Source organism: Homo sapiens, chromosome 6, assembly GCF_000001405.40.
Source record: "Homo sapiens chromosome 6, GRCh38.p14 Primary Assembly".
In the NCBI taxonomy this organism is placed as follows: Eukaryota; Metazoa; Chordata; class Mammalia; order Primates; family Hominidae; genus Homo; species Homo sapiens.
In genome coordinates, this window is record NC_000006.12 from 48052945 (window position 1) to 48070567 (window position 17623).

At 39.7% G+C, this 17623-nt stretch overlaps 1 protein-coding gene across 8 annotated transcripts in view; it reads right to left on the reverse strand.

Annotated features, from left to right (window-relative positions):
* Positions 1-17623, reverse strand: part of PTCHD4 (patched domain containing 4) — a 254525-nt gene that overhangs the window by 196272 nt on the left and 40630 nt on the right. For 2 of the 8 annotated variants that reach the window (NM_001384253.1, NM_001410910.1), the window contains exons 2-3: positions 16009-16982; positions 15286-15697 (exon numbers count right to left, since the gene is read on the reverse strand). The exons of 2 other annotated variants lie outside the window; for them this stretch is intronic. In NM_001384253.1, the coding sequence (NP_001371182.1) occupies positions 15286-15697; positions 16009-16013 (417 nt within the window). In that variant the 5' untranslated portion in view covers positions 16014-16982. Of the gene's footprint in view, positions 1-15111; positions 15887-16008; positions 16983-17623 lie in introns of those variants that run through there. 4 more of the 8 variants (XM_017010892.2, NM_001013732.4, XM_017010891.2 and 1 more) reach the window with 4 other exon arrangements.

Genomic DNA, 17623 nt, shown 5'->3' on the forward strand with positions numbered 1-17623 from the left:
TCTACTGACCCAAGAAGGGCACTTGGATGATTATGGCTTCGATGTAGCTGGAACTACTTTAAATATTCATTGCACTTTAATGAACATGCTTTTCCTCTAATTGATATTATGTTAATACTGTTTGAATATGAGTTGACTTGCCACACTGATCTGGGGGAGCCAGGATCCTTATATGAATGAATGAGAGATCTCAGGTTTGCTAAAACTAGTAAATACATCTAGAAGAAGAGTATAACATTTTGTTTACAGGTGAAGAGACAGAAAACATGCAATTTGGCCGGAGAATGTCAAGTAAGTCTTGTTTAAGCTAAGACTGATTAAAATTCTTTAATATCATGCTTTTAATATTCAAAACGTGACAGCTAAAAAGTCAAAGAGTAATTCACTTTGTCGTTCATTAATTTGACATATACTTATCTCTTACTATATGCTTAGCAAAAGTATAGGTTAACAATGGATAACATTAATAAATTAGTTGCAAAATCACAAACAAACAATGACCATCTCAGGATGCCTAGGAATTTAGTTTATCTTGATGGAAATCAGAGAGCTAATAACAATTTAATAAAAATCAAAAGTCTATAGTAAGTTTTAATATTTTACTTCATTAAGCTATGAAAATTTATTACTTTTGACCCTATCATCAACATAATAAATATTTACCATGAGTCTACATATTTCCTTTTTAAAATGAATGCCCTTGCATTAATGTGTTAAACTAGTGTGCCTTTTAAAGTGTCTCCGGACATATTTTCCCAATGATAAGCAATCCGGGACATCTTAGGAGCATAGCAAATTGATTAAGACACCATATTTCTAGCCAATATTTATAGATTAGGGAAGTACAGGAAAGGATAAAGTTGTTCCCTTTAGCTACAGAGCTCCCATGGGGGCAACTTACCAGGCAGGAAAATGGTACCGTGGTACCTGGTGTCAGGGCAGATGTTCTCTCCTTTGAGACCCCAAACTTGGCCTGAAGCTGAGTTTCAGGGAAAGCAGCATGGGTGCTATTTTAAAGTGTTCCCTTATCCTCTCATCCCGTCCACAAAAGAGCTAGGTAAGATAGGGGGATCTTTCTTCGGTTTCAGGTTCTTTAGTATTTCTCAATTTCGCTATCCACTGGAATCATTCAAGGATCTTGAAAAACACCAATGCTTGGGTTCTTTCCCCAGATATTTTGATTCAATCGATCTTAAGAGGGGCCCCAGACATTACATAATTGAAAAGTTCCTGAAGTGTTTCTTTGAAGAATCATTGAACTATACCAAGTGAAAAGGAGTAAAAATTACTTAGTAATAGGATAAGCCACAAGGTACTCTTAGAAGCTTAATCTTGGATATAGTCCTTAACAAAGCAATTTACAGCATGTTGGAGTTGGCCTATAAATAACTCAGGTCCTCCTAATTTCTATCCAAGGTTTTTCTTGAAACAACTGCTCCCCTGGAACTTGTTGACCTATATTTATATTTTGCTTTCTTAAGTTTACATGAAAGTTTAAACTTATGGAAGCATAAATTTCATAAGTTTAAACTTATGAAAGCAACATTCTAAATCATACAAGAATTATTTCTCCCTACAGTTTCTATTAGCAAGTCAGAAGGTTTTACTTTCTTCCTTATGTCTGTTAAGGATTGTAAAATTCAGTCCCAAAACACTGCCCCAGAAGTATTCTAAAGTTACCAATAAATGGTTAAGTAAATTACATCATAGCTACTTGGTGAACTTTTGTGCAACCGGTAAAATGATTATAAATATGCTTATGATAAAAAAATAAAAATAAATAGGATAAAAAATAACATGCACCCTATGATGACAACCGTGTATTTTATAGTTAAAGGCTGGAAATAATTTTTTTATAGAATTAGTGCAGGGATGGTAAGTGATTTATCACGTGGTTTCCTAATCTTCCAATGATGTTAGGATTCTGAGTTTATATTAATATAAACTAGCTACAATTTATTTTAAAAACTACCAAGTGCTAAAAATTTTGAAAATCTGCAGGGTGTATACTAACAATACCATTTTTTGATCCCAGAAAAGCTGAGGGACAAAGATGTTAAGTGTCACATCCAAAGTCATACAGCAAGTAAGTGGAGATATTTGATTCATAGATTTGTCTATTTCCTATGTGTTACCCACTTCATCATTATGTAAAAAATTTTAAAGACAGACTCGATCAATAACTGGCTCCCCTACTAGTCCATCAAGAAACAGGATCCACCCAGTAAAAACATTTGTTGCTTTAGTCTAAGTGGGTCTGATTGTCAATGGATGCTTATAAGTTTATGATAAAACAATAAAAATAAATAGGATAAAAAAGACATGCAACCTATGATGACAACTGTGTATTTTATAGTTAAAGATGGGAAATAAATTTCCAGTCAATGAATTCACAGGATATTGAGCTGAGAGGGAAAGATGGGGAGTGAGAAGCTCTTATCAAGTTAGTTATCAATTACCAAAATATTTTTCAATCAAGAGGAAGATGAGTAAGATAATATCAGTTTATAAACCACTTTTTAAGAGAAGTTAACTCTAAAAATATAAATTTGAACACTGCTTTGGAAGAGATACTCTAATAAGATGTGATTAGCTAATAAAAAAGTCTAAAGGCTCACAGCCTAGAAAGAATCCAATTCCTTAAAAACAATCCCCAAGGTGAAAATAATTGAAAGAATGAAATGAAAATAAGAGCCAAGCTGCTAATATCAGCTTTATGTGCTACTCCCTCAGAGACGTATGCTCTATCTATAAAAGGGGGTCATTAAACTAGTTCAAACCCTGAGCTTCTCTCATTCCCCTGAGGTGTTCTTGCAGGGTGAGTATCTGTCTCCTGGGGCACTTACTGGCGCCCTACCCTCTCTGGCCTCATGCCTTGTTATGCAGGCTCTGCCTCACCTACCCAGGTCTTTGCCCTGTAGATACTGTCCCCTACATTGAATTGTACGGAAAGACTCAGTTCCTGGGAAGAAGAAATGACAAGCTAGGTTTTTCCCATGAAGGAAGGGTACTATGCAAGAGCCACATATGGAATATTAGGATGGTATCCAATGTTTCCCACTCTTAGTGGAAAAGTATGGTAAATGTTGAATTAAACAGATTCAGGCAACCAGAATCAGCACTAAATGAGAACTCCCTTCCTAAACAAATACATTTACATTTACTTCATTTCATCCGTCATTTACTGAAGGCTTTCTTATATGCAAAACTGTTTTTAAATTATGTGGAGAAGGCTATAAATGTAAACGAGATACAATACATATCCTCAAAAGCTTTATAAAAGGCTACTTTCAAAAGCTTCATAATTTTGAAGGAAAATAAGAAAGGTTCTAAGTAACACATATACTTATTAGTGCTATAGTACAAATGTTAACAGTATGCTTCACCTTTGTTTTTAATGAAATTTTTCATACATAGAAAGGGTAACCTATACTGTCTAGGGGTTCAGGTTTTAGCCTGTTAATATTTTCAGTCTGTAACTTTTCACTAATATGTGCCTGTCATTTATTTTCAGTAATCAAATTTTTCTGATGTATATATAGTTTCTATTTTCTCATAGTTAAATATAAAACAAAAGACATTTGGATTCAGTGAAATCTTAATTGAGTGTACTTTCTTGGATATATTAAAACAATAAATGTAACTCGGGTTTCTTAAGGCCAGAGTATACAAAAGAGGTCATATTAAGAGTAACTTAAATTTCACTTGCTGGCATTCCCACTTGAATATGATGGGAGCTCTGGCCCTTGCAGACCTTCACCTATGCATTTCTAGGGGTCCTTAGAATACAGAATATGTTTCAGTAGTCTCCTCTAGGCCTTTCATGGTCTTCCTCTTCAACCTTCTGGCTGATGATCACTGCTGTGAGTTAGAACTGCAAGCACTGGTGACCATGTGACACTGAAGTCTGTGCTGAAGTCTCCAGATGTGATTCTGCAAGCTCTCATGGTGCCATTTTTGTCAGATCAAATATAGCACACCCAGTTAAATCTGAATTTCAGATAAGTAAAGAATGCAATATTTATTACATACTTAAACCAAAAAGTTATTCTTTAAAACAAAATCTGAAATTTAAATTTAACTGGGTGTCCTGTATTTTTACTTGCTATATTTGGCAACCCATCAGGTGCCCAAGCATATGCTCTCTGCAACCTTTCCTTAGCTGAAGCCACATGGGTGCTGTGTACAGGTGGGTAAAAAGTCTCTCCCTCCCTCTTCTGGCGGCGGTTTTTTTTGTTTTTTTTTGTTTTTTTTGTTTTTTTTTTCTGAGCCCAAAGCTGTTGCTTGTGCCTCGTGTATCTCAGGACCACTCATGAAAATGGCTTTCAATGTCTTTCTGTAGCCAGAGCTTGGACAAATCATAGGATATCAGACTGACTGGAATGGGCTTTGGTTTGATTCCTTTACAACTTCCTTCAAGGACTTGCCCTGCAGATTTCCTTGCTGGTTATATCCTCCCAGGCAAATTAATTTATGCTAAGAAAGCTAAATGCCCTATTAGTTCATTAGACACATACACTTACACTTTAGTAGAGATTCACTGTACATTTATAACACAAGTTAGATGGAGACTAAGGGAACTACCTACCTCTAAAGTACATGAAAATGCTTTCTACTTCTGGAAGTACTTAGAGAAGCTCCATGGAAAAAGTGGCTTTAAGGCCTCAGCTTTTAAGAGATATGTATGATTTTGACTGTGCAATAAATTCCAAGCCAAAGGAAGAGTATGAATGATGATAAGAAACCAGGAAAGTTCAAGATGTGATTGTTTTTGTTTGTTGCAGCATTTGATGTAATGATAACTGAAACTACAAGGGAACTTGAAGGCTGAGCTAAGGGAAGTTCTCAGTGGCCATGGTCAGGAGTTTGTAGTTTTTTCTTCCTGAAATGGGAAGTGCTTGTAAGTGTTGGTTAAGGAAGAGAATAATCAAGAGATTCACATGATCTTGTAATGTAGACTAGGTTTAAGCCTGATAAATTATAGTGAGAAAGATTAGGTTGTCACTTGAATAGATAAATGACAATGAAGGCCTCAGGTAGAGACAGCCAAGAATGAAAATGAAAATATATTTGAAAAAAAGACTTTGGTTCTGAGCATTGGTAATCTGTTATAGTCACCAGAGGTGCCTTTAAAAGTCACAGTGCCTGGGCCATCTCCAGGTTAATTAAATCTGAATCTCTCTAGATGGGATCCATGAAATCAGTATTTTTAAAGCTCCACTAATGATTTCTACACTCAGCCAAGACTGAGCACCCTTTAAGTGGAATCGGAATCAACTGCAGGGCTTGTTGGGCGCTAGCCCCAGTGTTTCAGCAGATCCCGAATTAGGTCTGAAAATTTGCATTTCTAACAAGTTCCCAGGTGATGACAATGCTGCTGGTCCAAGGACTACACTTTGAGAACTACTGCTGTAGAATGATTATGGTCCGATGATTAATTAGATATTACTGTTTATATGTTTTGACTGAGTGGGGGAAACTTAATTATAGATGACCGAGACACTGAGTCTGAGTTAATGGTAGCATAGAGATGCCATTGAAAAAGTTACAGATGTGGAAGAAAATAGCAGATGCTTGGCTTGAATGAGAATATTAAGAGAATGGATTCTGAGAAAAAAAATTATTAAAAAATATGCTTATGGGAATGGAAAAGAAAGTAAGCCAGCAAACGGTAGAGAACCATCAGAGAAATAGAAAAACCATAATCTCACAAAACCAAGAGGGAAGAAAGTGGTCAAGGCTAGCTCTATTTAGAATATCATAAAAATACAATCTTGAAAATACTTTCAGACCCAGTGCACACTGAGACAAGGGTCCAAGAGATCTTCCTTTGCTACTTTTAACTGTCCTTAGCAAAGAGAGGTCACATTCCGAATAATGACCTGCAGGCAGCTCCAGTTCTTCAGTGCAAAAGGCAGAAGGGTCTATGTCCATCTTATTACACTTACTAAGGAATTAATGAGGACTACCAAAAATAGGAGAGATTTTCAGCTTTGAGAGTTGAAACAAAAATGATTTTTAAATCTAATCATGAATTCAAAAGAAGGTAATTCCCTGTCTTCCGGATAAGGGCAGAAGGTCAATGCTGAAGGTCAACGCTCAAGAACTTAACCCACTAGCATTTGTTAAGAATGTATAATGAACCAGGTGCTGTTCTAAGCACCTTATAATCTTCCTACTCAGAGTGTGGATCATGTACCAGCACCATCAGTGTCACTCGGGAGCTTGCTTGAAATGCAGACTCTCACTGCACTCCAGACCTACTGAAGAAGAATCTGCATTTTTAACAAGATTCTTAGATGATTATTAGAGTATGAGAAGTACTGCCTAAGGTATTATGAGCTGATTTAATACACTCAATACTGTAAGGTAAGGGCTATTATGAGGGAAGTGTTACAAAGAAGTTAAAAAATGGGCAGGGCGGGGTGGTTCACGCCTGTAATCCCAGCACTTTGGGAGGCGGAAGTGGGCGGATCACAAAGTCAAGAAATACACACCATCCTGGGCAACATGGTGAAACCCTGTCTCTACTAAAAATACAAAAATTAGCTGGGCTTGGTGGTGGGTGCCTGCCGTCACAGCTACTCGGGAGGCTGAGGCAGGAGAATCACTTGAACCCGGGAGGCAGAGGTTGCAGTGAGCCGAGATCACGCCACTGCACTCAGTCTGGGCGACAGAGTGAGACTGTCTCAAACAAACAAACAAACAAACAAAAAAGTACCTAAAGTCATAGACTTAATGGGGGTAGGTCTGAGATGTAACACAATCTGGATATACAAACCCTGACCTATGCTGACTCTCAAGAAATTCATTACATGACCCTCAGCACTCACCACCATCACTCTTTAACCTCTATCCACAGTGTCTTTCCTTCAGTGCTTCTAGGGCACCACGTCCTTTCCATCATATTCTTTATTGTCTCTACCATTAACCCACCCCTGTGTGTTAACTCCCTCTCACCCGTCAGATCTCTGCTCACAGTCACTTTCTCAAGAAAACCGTTTTTTACCCCAAAACTTGGTATTCTATTCTCACAGCATCATGTATTTTTCATCCATGATAATTTGTAATTATGAATTTATCTATGTGATTGTGTGTGTGTGTGCTTTCTTTAACAAGACTCAAGCTCCCGGAGGGCAAGGACCACATCTGTTTTGTCTCACTGAATCTCCAGTGGCCAACACATTGCATGTGACTTAGCAGACACAAAAGTTTCCTAAATGAATGTGTATGTGAATGGCTTTTGAATCTTACCCACACGATGTCTGTCTTACCCACATTAGTATGGCCTGCACTGACAATCAGAACTGAACATGCTCACTCTCCATGTCATTAAAGGACCTGGTGAGGTAAGAGAACGGAGCTCAAATTTAAAGGGAAGAGTAAACTTTGAGGCTGAACCCTTAACATCCAAACAAACTTCCATCTGTCATGAATACCTGATCTTCTTTCATAACCTCCTGAAACTATGAGAGCCCTTTACATACCTTTTTAGCTTTCTAGAACCCAGAACCTATGCTCTGTCTTCAGTCTTTTTGTTTTGTTGTTTTGAGACAGGGTTTCCTTCTTTCGTCCAGGCTATACAGTGATGCAGTCTTGGCTCACTGCAACCTCAGCCTGCCAGGCTCAAGGCATCCTTCTACCTCTGCCTCTCAAGTAGCTGTGTCCACAGGTGTGTACCACCACACCTGGCTAATTTCTGTATTTTTTCATAGAGATGGGGTTTCACCATGCTGCCCAGGCTGGTCTTGAACTCCTGGGCTCAAACGATCCACCCACCTCAGCCTCCCAAAGTGTTGGGATTGCAGGCGTGAGCCACCGTGCCTGACACGCCTTCAGCCTTTGAAATGGCAAAGTTAGAAGATCCCAGGTGAGGTCTCTCCATGTTGGGAGGGGAGCTCCAGAAGAGAACCATCGACTGTTCCAACACAAATCCTGTAACTAAACACAATCCATTCATTTTTGAATGCTGTTCATCAGGCACCTTTCAGAGGCCCTGAATTCATCTCAATGACAGAAAATGAGACTTGATTTCAGTGAGAGGCTCTTCCATAATAATCCTGTCTGAAGAAAGCATAGATTACAATGCCACTTTAAAGGTACACTCTTCTGTAATTTTGTGTTTCATTTTCCTCCAAATACTCCCATGTATGGTTCCCATATCTTGCGTTCTCATATAATATTAACATAATTGGAGTAACTAAGGTTTAATGCTGCCACTATTGTGAAATAACTGCAAAGGGACTTGAGAAAAATGCTGCTGATTTTTTTTTCTTAAAGAGATGGTTGGATTTAATTTCAACAGTTTTAGAAAATATTGAACGACTGTAATCAGCTTAAAGCTTAAACAGGTGACAGGCTCAACTGTAGATGATAGGGATGAGGGTTTTTCAATATAGAACAGCCTCTTGATAATTCTCCAGATACCTCTTTGGTGTTTCCATGATAACACCATGATAAACGATATGCTGAGAGTCTCAATTACCATATTTTCTTATGGCATATTCAGTCTCAACAATATATGAGTCTTCCAAATCACATCATGAATTAGGAGTGCTGAGGTCAACCTTGAGTTTTAGATCTGAGCGTCTCTAACACAAAGGGGCATATTAATCATCTGGGGAGCTTGTTGAAATGCAGATTCTGATCAGTAGGTCTTTTGTAAGACCTGAGGAGTTTTAATTTCAAAGAAGCTCCCAGGTGGTGCTCATGCTGCTGGTCTATACAAAACACTTTGAGGAGCAAGGTCTTAGAAAACAAACTGAAATTAATTATGTGGCTTACAATGCAATTTGGCATGCTTTTAAGTCAGAACCATTGCCTAAATACTTCTGCATGCCAGGGCTGTTGTAAATGTACCCTTGTCCACCAGCACACTGGCAGAAACACTCTAGAGAAATGAGTCATTCCATGATTCCACCCTGGGGAGGAGACTTGAGTGATTTGTTTAACTAAGTTAGGGAAGAAATAGATCTGCTGTCCAATCAAAAGGTGTCTTGGGCAAAACTAGGAGGTTGGAATTTTCATATTTCTTCTTTAAAAATATTTATATTGAGCCTATGTCTGGATGTATCTGAAACAGGTCTGGGCAAAAGCTGGTCAATTCTAGAACAGAATTAAAAGCAATGTGGTCAAATCACGGTGTAATCGCTAGTGGGTTAAAATGCAAAATATTCTGCATACACAATGTATTTTGAAAAATGCAACATAAAGATTGCTTCACTTGTAATATAGAATTATTTAAAGTAGAAAAGATTAAGAAAATAAAAACGGTTAGAGTGCATTATTGCTTATGGTGTCAGGACATGGAAAGAAGTATGGTATTTTTGGCGGGGTGGGGATGATCTTGGTCTCCTTATACACTTCCATCATGATGTGGGTATGTCTTTGAGTTCTACTCTCCACCCCCACCCCAAGTCCTTGGTGGTTCTGAACCACTAAAGGAAACTATCATCAGATAAGCTGAAGATAAGTAAATGGGAAGAAGAATGGAGAGAACGCTTTCTATCCCCACCCCCCACTTTTTTTTAACCCTCTTTTAATCCTTGACTTAGGAAAATAAAAGGAAGCTTAAAAAAGTACTTATGAAAAATTTACAACCAGATTTAAATCTGGTTTTAAGGCCTTGCTGAAACCAAGGAGCAGAAACTAGGCCCCAGTGCCAAGCAATTCTTTAGCCCACTTTGGGTGCTCAGAAAAATTCAATAAAAGAACTTATCCCAATAGGATGGCCAGGAAAAATATGTACAATAATTCAGTTGGGTGCTATGATCAAAGTCTTTCAGTAGCATCATTCAAATGGAAAAAAGCACATGTACTTTACTCCAGAAGAAAAACATACTAGAATATATCCCCAAATCCACTATAATGATAATTATCTACTATGTGGTAGAATGGTACCTAAGAATCATAGACTTTCATTGGCTGACAAGAATCCTGACAATCCCTGGCCTGACTCTATCATTTTACAGAGAAAGAAGCTGACGCCTACATTGGTGACGAGACTTGCCTAATGTCACACAATTGATCCTTAAAGAACTGAGAGTTCTAACCAGTACAGAAACCTAGGTCTCATAGAACTCAGGTCTCCTGAATATTTCTCAATTTAGAGCATATTGTGCTATCCCATAAATTTTTTTTTTCAGGCCATTTGAAGCCAGGAATACTCAAGCTTCTTTGGCACATAAGCCACTGGCTCAAAACTTTGGGCCAGGTTACAGGAATCTACTTTTAGCTAATCCTGGAGCCTTACCTTGGTTTGTTCTGACTTGATAGAAAATGATATTAAAGATGAAATCCTGTGCCAGTGAAGAATTTGCTAAACTCTCCACAGTAAGGGGATAGTAAGAATTTGCCCAAACTAGAAGCTTCACTCTGTGTCACCTTCCTATGAGCCAGTCACTCTGAGCAAGTAAGGGAAATAATGTGAAACATTAGTACTGGTATTTTGTCATGGATTTCAGATGTCAGGAATTAGAGCCCTACTTCTTTCTTAGTATAAAGGGCTGTTGTTACAGAGAATGATGGAGGATGTCATGGGATCTAATATTGTATTGTGGTTAAGAATATGAGCTTCAGTACCCGACAGAACTGGATTTAAATCCAAGCTCCAGCAAGTACTAGCTTGGGGACTTCAAGGAAGTCAACCTCCTGGTCTTCAGTTTTCTTTCTTATAAAAATGGGAATAGAAATAATCCCCCTGACTTAAAAACTTGTAAAGATTAAATAGCATGTGTGTTTGAAACACCTAGCACCATGTAGGATACAAACTGAACATTCAGTAAGGTAGTGATGTTTTACTCAGTCAGAAAGGTAAGCTTAAATCAAAATATCAGAGAAGATCCTGACATGTATACCTTATACGGTTTTAGAATTAGAGAAAGAAGTCCATAGCATAACTTTGCTTGAAAATTTCCCCAAGTAATGCTGGTCCTCACTTTTCATGTTGGCTTAAGTTACTGTTCCATTGAGATTGGAGCTAAATAATTAACGGCAACATCTTCCAAACCTGGAGCATGCACCCAAAATGTACCCAAAGGAACACTGTCTTCTGTTAAGAAGCAGGAAAGTCTATCTTTGCTCTTATTTCAAATGTGGTACATTGAAGTACATACTGATTTCACTTTAACATCTGTTCAGAGGTGTGGTTATTAATGGCATATAATGGGAATGGCAGGATTCAGGGAAATAGATTTGCTTTATTTCTCTATCACCGTTGGCCAGGATGTTGGGATCTAGACTTGGAATCAAACCCATATCGAAGGACTACATTTGTCTGCTTAAATCTTTACCTGTGTCTTTACTGCAGCTAAAATAAAGAACTGGGGACATATGAGAATTGTTGCTTTCATGAAACTAGCCAGGTGGAGAAGTGAGGTTATGTTGGCCTACCTAAAAACAGGGAAATATTACCTGTAAACACCTGACCTCCTTGAATGATAATGAAAACATTTCTTAGAGTCCAGAAAAGTCGTTGCTTAAAGACTCTGAAGGCCTATCTCACTTTAATCAAGAGGTAGACTTCAACAACATGTTAAGTATTTTACTTAAAAATTCAGTCTGCCCATTTCTATTACTGTATACAATAGTATGATGTGTATATTTTAATAGTTGAAAAAAAATAGCCCCTAAATATTTGGGTCAAAAGCACTTTAAAGACAGCTGGAGAATACAAAGAATACCTTTATAATAAAAGTAAGCCACAAAAGTTGAAAAAGTGATGATAATTTTGTGATATAGCAGTATAAGTGTGCAAATTAATCAATAAGTTAATGACTATTTGTTGTGAATACTATCTACACAGAACTAGATTGGGTTGGGGTGGGGAAAGTGAATAGTACAGAAAGGATATACGATATGATTTGTGTGCCTAGTGAGAGATATAAAAGAAAGATTATAATGAAGGGAATAATTTCAGAGGTCATGTCATATAGATGTAGGGATTTAAGATTTTGGCATATTTTCTACACAGCTTTTGAAATCGTGTATATGTACCATTTCTTTTGTGGTATTCTAAGTCGATGGCTGCTTTTTTGATACCAGTTTTATCTAAGCCTCTATTTGGAATTCCATGGAAGGCACCTTTCTGTGTCCCTGCTTGTCTGGATCACCTTGTCAACATAATCATGTTTATCAGAAGTTCTAAACCTTTCTGTGTCCAGGACTCCCTGGGTGTCTTAATAATATTTGGAAGATGACCTTCTGTTGTCATAACAAAGGTTTCTGACCACTTCTGTCAGTCAATCAGTGTTTACACATCTTCAGCCTGTCCCTAAGCACTGACCTGCTTCTTTAATGTCAAGTAATTGCCAATTCATACTCATGTTATGCATCCACCGCTATTTATTCTGCAATTTCCTAATTTTCTGCCTTCCAATAGCATTTTCCAGTACTAAAATTTTCCATATTGGTCAGAGTTGGGAAGAGTGGTGACCCAGTAGAACAGGAGAAAGCAAAATGAATTTGAGGGCTAAAAAAATACATATAAAAATTTTCCTCAAATCTTGTACACCAGGAGTTCTCACATGTTAGTGTGTATTAGCATCATAGAGGCATCCTTTGAGAGCCCTTGAAACACAGGAACCAAAATCATTTTTAAATAACATGTAATTAAAACAAGGCCATCTCATTTTGCTCTCTGCCAGGGAGTTCTGATCCTGGGAGCCCCTGGAGAGCCTTTGACAAGATTCTAGGCATCCATGGTACTCCTAAGATTATATTTTAAATATTCCATTATGTATTGCATGAGATTGTGTTTGAACACTTGAGAGGGCCCATTGCTTTCAGAAAATCTCAAAAGCCCAATTTACCCAAACATAGTTTAAAGACTCCCACTGATGCCAGGCAGAGAGAGTTAAGACAACACATTTGAGGAAACATTGATAGATACTAGAATATTGTGGAATAAGAACTTTAGCTAATGTGTAACACTTCTGTTCTTTTTATGCTATTATGATATTAACCTTTGTAATTAATGATTCCCTTCTTTAGCAATTACCCTCTGACTTCTACTAAGATGTATATCAACCACCAAACAGCATAAATTTTCCATGAAGCACCTGTTATAGGCCTAGCATGGTGTTGGGTCAATGGTGCACTCAAAGATTGCAGAGTTCCAGCTTGCAGGTTACTCTGGGTGAGGACACTGACATCTACTTTTTTTTTTTTTTTTGAGACGGGATCCCTCTGTCACCCAGACTACTACTGCTAAGCCTCACGAGAGTGAGAACTTTGCTTTTCTTGCCCCAAACTCTGTCTCACATGCTTAGGAGAGCATTTAGTAAATCATAAGAGCACAACAAATGATTATTAAATGAGTAAACTGAATACCTCAGGGATTTTATACTGTAAATAGCATAATGATATTACCAGATAAACAAAATCTCCTCAGTGGCTGATTGAACAAAAATTTTACACCTGGAGGATACTGTAAATACAAGCACTAGAGGACCCAACCAATAATGCATACTAATGAACTACAAAGTTGACTCCATAGGAAAAACCAACTGAAGTTTATATATGACAAAGTTTCAAATCTTTCTTTACTCCAGGTGTTTGGTATAGGAAATAACTCAATTAAAAGAGTATAGGTTAGGAAGATTACCTCTCCACCACATCCTTTTCTTTAGCAAGCAATAATGTTGATGGCAAAGGATTCGGGGAAATGAAAAGCATGCTGCCTAACCACACATCCAACATGCTCCCATCAATAAGTTTGAAGCAGGCAAACCCTAACCTAGATTTAAAGCTGATAAATCATCTGTTTCGTTTCACTAAACATCAAGGGGCTGCTCAGCTTTGTAAAGCTGAAACCCTTGTCAGCCTCTGGATTCATTTAAATGGGGACACCATGTTAAGAAAAAAAAAAAAAGCAGGTTATAAGGTTTCCCTGAAGAATCTCTAGTTTCTAAGTGCATTAAATCCTCCTTCAATTTAGGAAAAAGATTTTTTCTCTCAAAACTCCTGAAAAAGGTTTTTTTTTTTAATGTATAGATGCCGACTATATCAAATTAGTGATTTCCTATATTAGGTCATTCATTTATTGAAACTGGGGTCCTTTCTATTCCACTATCTCCACAGATGCACACACATATCTTCACATACATTAAAAAAATTTTTTTCTTCTTTGGAAACACCTGTCTTGGGAGTTCTTGGCTGTGCAGCTTCTGGGCATGAACAGGGTCAAGCAGACAAATGGTGCAGTGACTCTTTTGGAAGTCACATTTGTCCCTGAAACTTCAGTCACCTGGAGACTGCATGCCTCATTGCCTGCAGCAGCTCAATCTTGACAGTGTAGAATGAGTTTAGAAATCTCATTTGAGAGAAAAAATTTAAATTGAGAGTCTAAACAGCACAATATATTTAATGCTGAAATGACCGTTCTTTGTAAATTTTGCTGACTGTGATTTTTTTTTCTTTCCTTTTGTTATAAGGCTGTTGTAATAATCTTGCTCTCATTTGGAATTTTTTATGGGAAAGGAAGATCACTGGACTCAGTTATCTAGTACATCAGTTAGGTGCACATTCCTATTTTTATACACAGAAAATTCCTGCTTCGTTTGCTATGCAAACACCCATACACATCATTCCTGGAATCCCTACTACATTCATAACTCACTGCTTTCAGACACACACTCACACGGCACCAAAACACAAACTCCCCACATGTTAACAATCAAGCCAGGCTGAAGATGTAAATAGGTGGATATGACACCAGGTGGATGTGTAATCAGTAATAAGAAATACATTGAGCCCCATAATGAAAAGAAATCCCACAAATTGTTGAGGATTCCCCCTCCCCCTTCCATTCACTGATTTATTAACCCTGAACAAAGATGTAATTGCAGGGTCTCAGAAATAACTTTTGTTTTCATTTTTCTTTTTTTTTTTATTTTTGGTATTTGTTTTGTTTGGCCTTGAATTTCTTAATATCTAGTCATACCATTCATTGCCTGTTTTCTTCACTCAGTTGCCCATCTTTTCCCCCCAGAAATGAAAGAAGCATTAGCTTCTGAGTCTTAAGGATGAGACCTCTGCATTTTCTTTGCTTGTTTAGGGCAAGAAATGAAGTGCTGCCTCTTTAATTGGCAGAAGCATGCAGAAGGAGCATACCTTTAATTTAGTGTTGGGATACCTCACTTGCACCCTGGCTGTTGTCTTATTGGAGACGGCAGCCTGCCTGAGATCCTCTAGCACTGAAATAATATCATCCAGCACGCATTTCTTATCCTGATTTCTCAACACACACAGATGGGAAAAAGTATAATTATAGCCCTTGTGGTTCACCTTCATTTCCAGCACGGCTCGGTGGGTCTGCAGGATCCCCTCAGCCTGGAGCAAAATATTGTCCCCGGTTGGGGAGAGGAGGATCACCCTGCCATACCTCCCAGGGGTGTGTAAGTCCGAATAGAGCTGGCTTTTGGACTGGTCCAGGGGGAAAAGGCTGCTGGCCAGGCTGCGCTCGATCTTGGCCAGGCTGTGGCTGGGAGCGACCAGGCGCTCCAGGTCGCCCTCGGGCTGGAAGCGGTTGAGCGCGCTGAGGCCGAAGGTGATTGTCAGGACTGCGGGCACGGTGAGGAAAAAGACCGGGTGCCGGCTCACGCACAAACCCAGCCTGTGGCAGAACGACTGGAGCCCTCTGCGAAGCACCTGCCGCAGCATCCTCCACCAGATCCAGCTCGCAGGCGCTCCCGGCCGTCTTAAAAAGCACATGTGACATGTGTAAGCGCCGGGCTACCCCGTTCTCCCCCATCCCACCCCCTGGGGCCAGTCCCCCCTCCCCACCGCCGCCGCCTCCCCACCCACTCCGCGCTCACCCCACAACCACTCCGCCTGGTCTTTCCCCGGCCCCACCTCCATGCGCTCCTACTACTCTTTCAAACACTGCAGCAAGTTGCAGCAAGGCGGGCAAATACCGACAGCGCGCGTGGGGGCGGGCGGCGGGCGCCGCGGGGCCCACCCCCTCCCCGGTCTCCCCGCGCCCTCGCCGCCTCCCGCGCTGGCTCTCACCGCATGAGCAGCGTTCCCTCGGTCTAGCCCTTCATCTCGGTGCTGCAGTCCCCTGGCCTCCCTCGCTGGAGGTGGTTCCGTGTGGAGCGTCCCACAGATGTGGATTTCCTCTCTGTCTTGGTGGGGTTCGGTGCCTAACTGGAACCATGTGCCTCGGTGTTGTAAGAAGCAGACATGTGCCCCATAAAGGGGGGGGGGGCTGAGGGGGGGAGAGGAGGGAGAAGGGCGGGAGCACGTTGGGGGTGGGGGGGCAGATAAGCTTTTTTCTTTTTTTAAGATGCTGACAGTTATTTTTAGAGTTTTGTGTTCCCTCTTCCCTCCCCGCTGGAGTGAATTGAAGAGGAAATAAATGGTGAAGGTGCTGCTGGCCCATTGGAGCAAGGGCAATTAGAGCCCAAGGAGTGGGGCATGGAGGGAGACAGCCCCAGGGCTCCAGGAGACAGCCTTCTCGCCCCTCCAGTTTCCCTGTGCCCTCGAATTCTGCTTTTCAGCGAAGAAAAGGAGCAGAGAGGATGATGCTGCATTTTTAACACACCACACAGCATGCAAGGGATTTCCTCGCAACACCTTCCTCGCTGTGATTCCACAGACCAGTCCGCTGCAGCTGAGGGCTGCGGAGACTCCATCTATCCCTGGTGCGTTGGGACCGTCTGGATAGCTTCTTTCCTCTGATGGCTGGAGAGGAGGCATTTGCCAATAGCAGTAGCCTGTGTGCGTGTGCGTGTGCGTGTGTGTGTATTGAAAGTGAAGATCTACAGGCAATATGAGGTTTCTCATAACATGTTACATTCACTTTCTGTATTCTTGAGATTAAAGGACAGAAAGTTCCTAAAGCTGATTTCAGTCCCCTTTTCCAGTGTCTCCTTCCACCCCTCACCCATGAGGACTGTTTCAAGCCATCTGGTTCAGGCTAATTTTCCCCTGTGAGTGGAATTCCAGAAACAGACACTTCCAGACACACCAGGTAGTTTTGCCTGAAAAAAAAGAGAGTCGGGTGGGTAGAGGGAAACCTATTGGAGTCACTTGTAAAAAACAGTGAACCTCCTTCACTGTATAAGAAAGAAAACCCCCACCAGATACAATTCCTCCTTCAGCACCCAAAAGTGTGAAGATGAGGATCTCAGCTTCAGATCAGGTCAACTTCAAAAACTAATATTAATAAGTGTGTGTTTGTGTGTGTGTGTGTGTGTGTGTGTGTGTGTGTATATATATATATGAATTTTTTAGGGCAAACTCTAAAGTGTGATTGTGAACTGGAGATTTGCTTTCCAAAGTTTCTGTTCTTTTTGGAATGACTTCATAGAAAAGATTGAGTTTCAAGAGATGTTCTGTGCACAATTTCTTAATAACAGTGAAAGTGCCCATTTTTAATTAGATACTTAGAAAGGGAACCATCTATGCATACAAACAAGCTAAAGGACTCCTTGTCATAATATATACCTTTTATTTTTTTCTACTGGAATTGATTCTTCAGTTAAGAGACCAATGACACAGCAGAGAGCTCAGAAACAGCGACAATGCTTAAGGAAAAGTGTCTAGAAGAAGGTGTCATATATAAGATTAAATAAAAATTCCGCCCTTTCTAAATTGAAAGTGACCTTGGCGGCCATTCTGT